A 1779-nucleotide genomic window follows, 5' to 3' on the forward strand; every position below is an offset into this window, starting at 1 on the left:
CAGCCCTGATGTGGTCTTTTAACTGTCCTTCCCACTGTAACATGACTTTGGTTTTTCTTAGGGGAACTGTGGTAGTTCACTAACAATTCTCATCTCTGTGTGCTGCGCCTCGCAAGAAGAGGCGAAGTCTCCGTGTTGACCTTATAATTTGCCTTAATGAATACATATTATCAGAAGAGATATTCTGGGTCTCCTGAACCAGGCTTTAAGAGGACTGGAAACTTTTGCATCCTCCTTCTTGGAGCCCAATTGCCATGCTATGAAGAAGTCTAAGTCAAACGACTGACTGATTAGAAGCTCCTTGGAGAGGAGCACTGTGATGAGAGGTCAACCTGAATACTCCAGCACAAGCCAAGCTCCAACTGAATGCAGCTGTATAGGAGACCTCCAGAAAAACCAGCAGAAAAACTGCCTGCCTGAGCTCAGCAAACCCACCTACTTATAAGAAATTGTTATTTTAGGCCACAACATATGGAATGGTTTGTTTTGCAGCAACAGGTGAGTGATAGAGGAACTAATGCCCTCTCTGCCAACTTTATGCAGGAAGGGTTCACAAACATCCTAGCTCCGACCAATCATCATAGTCTCTGACCCTTTACACAGAGATTAGTTCAGCACTTGACTTAAATCAGCCAAAAGAGGCTAAATTATGAGACCTTTCAATCTAGACCGGGAGTTTTTAGGGCCATCTTGTCTGTAGGAAGTGAGAGCTTGCCAGAGGGTAATGCTGACTAGGGTGGAAGCAGCTCTGAAGGATTTCATTTGATTACCTACCAAATCCAGTCATGCCTAAATCTATATTAATATATGGTTATTTTAGTTGCATGAGCTAATGCATTTCTTTCATCAATTAAATCAGCTTGAGGTAAGGTTTCTATAGGTTGTACCTGAAAGACTTCTGACTAATACAGGGAACCTAGCAGGTAAGTATAGGACAGTAATAGAAAATCTATAAATAAGAGACAACTTGGAGATTCAGCTAGGTGCAGTCAGCACCAGGAAGAAACAAACACACACAATTTCCAGCAAGGTTGGCATTCTGAAATAAGACATCAGGCCCCAGGATCACTGAGTATAGTTATATGAGTTGTGTCCTACCAAAGGGGCCCTGAAGGAAGGCTAAGGTGAAGGCTAAAGATTGGCACTTGCTCCAAATAAACTGTGGTGCAGGACTGTGTCTGTTTAGAGTAAGGAGTGCATCTTTTTCTAATTAACAAAAAAGCATCGTGTAGGCTGCCTGAAGCCTCAACTGCCCCTGGAAGCAGTGAGAGAAGCCTAAGGCACATCCCTGGTCCCAATGAAGGCTAGGAAACCACATAGAGTACCTAGAAAAGAACTAGAAAAATAAGCATAACCCATAAATCACAACCGAAAAAACAGTGCCAATCTGCAACCATTCAGGCAGGGGTTCAGGGATCCTGAGTCATGGAAATCAGCTTTAATTTGATTTGGGAGGAGAACAGTTCTGAAGATTTATTCCATCATCAACCATGATGTGTCCTTACACCTGAGCCACAGGTGTATTATTTTCTCACCCTGAGACACTCTAGGGGGCTAAGAGTGACAGTACTTTCCCCAGAGTCATCATTTACTTGTTCTCCTGTTTTCCTTCTCTTAATATTTCACCTTTTTTCCATTTGTCACCTGTCAGAACATAGATGTGGTCTCCCAGGCAGGGGCCTCTGGTTCAGTCATACCATCAACCCATAAAGAAGACAGCAGTAGGAAACTTGCCAGGGCCTTGCCTTTTGTCCATTCTTGGGAAGAAGTGGCAGGGCT

The sequence above is a fragment of the Homo sapiens genome, chromosome 4, assembly GCF_000001405.40.
Source record: "Homo sapiens chromosome 4, GRCh38.p14 Primary Assembly".
NCBI lineage: Eukaryota > Metazoa > Chordata > Mammalia > Primates > Hominidae > Homo > Homo sapiens.